Genomic DNA, 5,004 nt, shown 5'->3' with positions numbered 1-5,004 from the left:
TCTTCTGTCTCACCTCAAGATAAAAATGGGGTTGTGGCCAGGTGCAGTGGCTCACACCTGTAATCTCAGCATTTTGGGAGACCGAGGCAGGCAGACAACTTGAGGTCAGGAGTTCGAGACCAGCCTGGCCAACATGGTGAAACCGCATCTCTACCAAAAAATACAAAAAATAGCTGGGTGTGGTGGCGTAAGCCTGTTGTCCCAGCTACTAGGGAGGCTGAGGTGGGAGAATCGCTTGAACCCAGGAGGCGGAGGTTGCAGTGAGCTGAGATGATGCCACTGGACTCTGGCTTGGGAGTGTAAAAACAAAATGAGTTTGGTTGTGTCCATCCAGTGGTACAGATGACATAGCAGGACACAGGAAATAGTTTCTCCTTGTGTGATCCAAGGGTCCTGAAGCAGCTCTCATTTAAATACAGATTCCCAGGCACCACCTCCGCAGCTTCAGAATGTGTTATCTAGGGTGGGGCTCTGAAATCTGCATTTTCTTTAAAATACACAAAGTTTGAGAACCAGCAATTTAGGGAGACCCGGTTTCATCCTGGGTCAACCACTAACCAGGTATGTGACTTTGCGTGGCTCACTTGTCTTCTCTGGGCTTCTGTTTTTTCATATCTAGGATGACGGGGTTGGGCAATGTGACCCCTCAATTCTAAAATTCAGCAAGTTTATGTTCTGTAAACTTCTGGAAGGTAAATTCCTTGGCCTACATGTCTTAGAATCTCTAGCATATTCAAGTATAGTACCTTAAATACAATAGGTGCTTAACAAACACCGGATGAATGAATGGATGGAATGAGTAGCTGGGAGGCAGGGTAAGGGGTGCTCACAGCAATTCAGAGACAATACTGCAGTGGAGCACAGTACAAAGGCCTGGGTTAGAATCCCAGTCTTTGCCAAGTTGTGTGGTCTCTTGAACTCTCCATTTTCCCATCTGTAAATTGGAGGTGTTACCTATTGCATCAGGCTGTTGCAGGACGAAATGAGTTAATGTCTACAAAAAGCTTAGCACAATGTCTGACACATAGTAAATACTTAATACCTTTATTTCTAATTAAGTCGCCCCAATGAGGAACAAATAATTGGCTTTCAATGAGGGAGAACTTGATTTTCAACCATATTCCAGACCTCCTGTCTTCCTCCCTTTCCCACTGGCCCATGGAGACCCTGACTATAAGGTTGGGCCTGGAAGACTGGCTGACCTGACAGCCAAAGCTGTAAGGACCTAAGATGTTCTATTATCTTACAGCATGGTGTAACTTATCCATGAACTGAGAGAAACAAATTGTCAAGGCATCATGAAGTTTATCATCAGGAGTATGGAAAGAGTACGAGGTTTGACGTGAGAATATCTGGGTTCAAGTGTTAGTTCTTGCAGAAAAACTTCCGTGACCTTACTGTACCTCCACCACCTGATTTGAGTCAGATGTCCCTTCTCTATGTTCTCACAGTGCCGACTATTTCCTTTATCATGATATTTGCCTTTTGTTCTTACTACCTGTGACTGTCACCTACAGTAGACTAAGCTTTTTGAGAGTGGGGACAATGTCTTGACCATCTCTGTATCCTGGACAAAGAACATATTGCCTGAGTGGAGCAGATGTTCAGGAAATGTTTGTAGAGCTCAATTCAAATGATGAACTGATATACTACTGAGCTCAGCAATTAACCTCTTTAGGCACTGTAAGAGGGAGACAAGAAACCCTTCTCTGATGTCTCGCCAATGTTATTGTGAGGCTCAAGCACTTTGTAACCAGTAAAAGAATCACTGTTATTGCCTTTCAGGCCTCTTCCCCTCCACCCCGGACCACCCCACCCCCACCCCCACCCCCACCCCACAGCCTTGCTGACCTTTACCTAAACCTATTTACCATCCCATTAGGACTCTACTTTCTGTTCTGTAGGCTATTTTATCAGCCAATCTGGAAAAGGAATCCATGCTAATGTGTTAATGGGTGTTAATTGGACGATATGTTTATATTTCAACAGGGAGTTTTTGAGCTTTAGGAGGAATGAGTAATAGTGGATTCCAGGTGCTTGGGCTTGGGAGAGCTCGGTTTTTGTTTTTGTTGTTGTTGTTAGGGAATCTCTTAAGCCATTTCTCAAGCTGCCCTGGTAGGGGGCCACCTACTTTTTGTCCACATTAGGCTTGTCATGCAGCACACACAGTGTATTTGCATGCAGGAAGTGCCTGAGGCCTCTAGGACCACATTGGGGGGTTCTGTCTTGCAAGAGATCCAATAGCACAAGGAAGCAGTCTGTAGCAATTTACCTGCTTCCTTCCTGAGTTTTGAGTCAGGGCCTGATGAGCTCTGTTCCAGGCTTGGAGATCAGACCTGGGGCCCAGAAAAGCCATTAGCCTGGAAAGATTATTTCTGTTAATCCTTCTAAGCAGCTCCTGAGGCTTTTCACATGCTCACAGAACAGCCTGGGGCCTTTGCTGGGGTCCAGTGTTAAACTACTTTGGAAAGAGTTGTAATTCCCAGTTAAAAGTTCCTCTGGTGCTATTAATGTTGAACAGAAATAAGTTTTGTGCCTGAAATATCAATGCCAAGGATTTTGCGTGTGTTGAGAATGAGGAGGGGAAGGTGAAGGGTTTACTGGCTGAGGCTGGTTTGAGTTTGCAGGTGTGGGCAGAGGTGGGGGTGGGAGGTGAGGGGAGTGCCTGCGTGGTCTGTGAGCATGAGTGTGTATTTTAAGCATGCATGCCCTGTATGCATGCTCTGTGACTTTGTCCCTTGGCTCTTTTCTGAATTGTCTGGTGTAGGAGCTGGTTATGAAAATAAATTGTTCTTTCTTACTGCCTTATGTGTAAAGCCACTGCCTAAGCTTCTCAGAACATTGTTCTTGATTGTGTTGAGGCCTGACAAACCTAGGGCATGATAGAATGCCATTCTTGTCTCAGTGTTCTCCCATCAGAATGTGGGGTCCTTGGATAAATTTTGGGAAAGTGACCTGAGAGAGGTTGGACCAGTGGATCTGAACTTGCTAGAGGCTGGTTGTCTTGTGGCTGGTAGATTACCATGGGGCTTGCCTGCCATTTTTATTCCTCTGCTTCTTGCCCACATCTCCAGAGGAAGGGTAAAAGAGGGAAAGAATTGAACCTCACCTACCTTAGTGAGAAAATGCCTTGTTTCCCAGCTTTTGTGTGGTCAGTGGCAGCCTCTGCCACCAGGTTCCCCTGTATTTCAGTCCCTGACAGGTAGCTGATGAAGCCTCCACTCTTGAGTATTAGAATTTAACTCTTTCTCTGTAATAGACTCAGATGGGCCTATTCTCTGAATGAGGCTGGTTTGCTCATTCAGAGAATTTTTCAGAGAATTCAGAGAACATTGTAGGTACCAGTGTTGCTCACGGGGCAAAAGGTGATTGATTGATGACTTGCTGAGCACTGCTGGCAGCTGGGGTGGGGTGGAGAGCAGGCTGACAGGTCCAGGATCTCTTTAGGATGAAAATAGAAGTTGCCAAGTGAGAATCTGTAGGCTAAATTCAGCACTCACACCCTATGTGACCTGAACAATATTTTAAAACATTTTGACTTGGTTGCCCACATTTAAAAATCCAGAAAGTTGAAAATGGTAGGATGAGAAAACACTGGGTAAGTTGCCGGCTTGGCAACAATTAGTTATGCTGAGTAGTGGCTGCCACACTGGGGCAGGATCTGTGCCCAGGGATACTCTCCGGCTTGCCACAGTCCCTCACCATTGCCTGTTGTATTATACACTGCACGCTTTCCTTGTTTAGAGTATCTGTCTGCCTCCTGTAGGCCACTTTGTGATCCCCAGACTATCAATACTCATCATGGTGGCATAGGCCCTAGGGAGAGATTTTGCTGTAAGGGATGGGACACGAGCTGAGCAGCAGGGTCTGAAAAAAGCAGGAAGCCTGAGAGAGGAAGCCCGGGGTCCCCACTGGGCAGCCTGTCATGCAGAGACATCATAGCAATAAGGGAGCCTGAAATTCAGCAGCCTGTGAAAACCCAGCCAGGAAGCACTGAAGGCAGTGAGCTAAGTTAGTAGGAGGATACAGCCAGGCTATCTCAGGCCAAGTGACCACGCCATAGTCTTCCTTAAACCCTCAATGACTTCCCGTTGTTCTTAGGATAAAGAGCAAACAGCCTTACCATGGTCAATAAGGTGCTGCATGGTTTGGCCTGACGAGATTGAGCTTTATTTTGAGCTCTGTGCTCTTGGAAAAGTAGCAACAGTCAAGAAAACCCCCTACTGTTTTGTGATGCTTTTGTGTTCCAAGAAGCTAACTGCAAAGGACCATCCCACCCTCATAAATGGCAAGACAAAACCCACCTCCACCCTTTTTCAATGACTCAGATAAGATCCACCCTAAGTTTTCTCCCTCTTAATGAACATTCTCCCTCCCTGTTACAATAGCTCAAATAAAATCATCTCCTTGGTTGTCTGTTGCATTTTATTCTTCACAGTTTTGGTGCCATGACTTAGAAGGAATTGGACCTCACCTTCAGATCACATCACCCAGGTAACAAGATCTGTCAGAGCCCTTTGTGTTCCTCTCCTGACTAGTGATCTGGGGACCCAATGGTGAGTCCAGTTCTTGCTCCTGTGGTTTGGGCTCTTGTTTATTGGTAGATCCATAAAGATTTGATTTTGATTCTTTTTGAATACTTGCTTGATTTCTGGTGCTGGCTTGTTTTGGTTGCATGATCTGACCATTCAGTGATCTCTGTCTTTCCCAACAGAGACAAGGTTTATAGAGACCTTGTCTCTGTTGGGTGAAAGATGACAGTATCTGGTTTGTTAGTCTACTTATCTCTTTTGAGCTTAAATCAATTAAGAATTCCATGATCTGCTGGGCACGGTGGCTCATGCCTGTAATCCTAGCACTTTGGGAGGCTGGGGCGGGAGGATCACCTGAGGTCAGGAGTTTGAGACTAGCCTGGCCAACATGGTGAAACTCTGTCTCTACTAAAAATGCAAAAATTAGCTGGGCGTGGTGGCATGTACCTGTAGTCCCAACTACATGGGAGGC

General features: G+C 45.8%; 2 annotated features.

Annotated features, from left to right (window-relative positions):
• Positions 1,334–2,191: an enhancer, noted in NCBI's record as "NANOG-H3K27ac hESC enhancer chrX:76643525-76644382 (GRCh37/hg19 assembly coordinates)". NCBI's record gives its function as "activates a minimal SCP1, AML or CMV promoter by ChIP-STARR-seq in naive H9 embryonic stem cells {active_cell/tissue: H9 hESC(naive)}" and the evidence as "EXISTENCE:reporter gene assay evidence [ECO:0000049][PMID:30033119]".
• Positions 2,192–3,049: an enhancer, noted in NCBI's record as "NANOG-H3K27ac hESC enhancer chrX:76642667-76643524 (GRCh37/hg19 assembly coordinates)". NCBI's record gives its function as "activates a minimal SCP1, AML or CMV promoter by ChIP-STARR-seq in primed H9 embryonic stem cells {active_cell/tissue: H9 hESC(primed)}" and the evidence as "EXISTENCE:reporter gene assay evidence [ECO:0000049][PMID:30033119]".

This window comes from Homo sapiens, chromosome X (assembly GCF_000001405.40).
Source record: "Homo sapiens chromosome X, GRCh38.p14 Primary Assembly".
Taxonomy (NCBI): Eukaryota; Metazoa; Chordata; class Mammalia; order Primates; family Hominidae; genus Homo; species Homo sapiens.
Note: the sequence above shows the minus strand (reverse complement) of the source record. Positions and strands in the feature narration are given on the sequence as shown.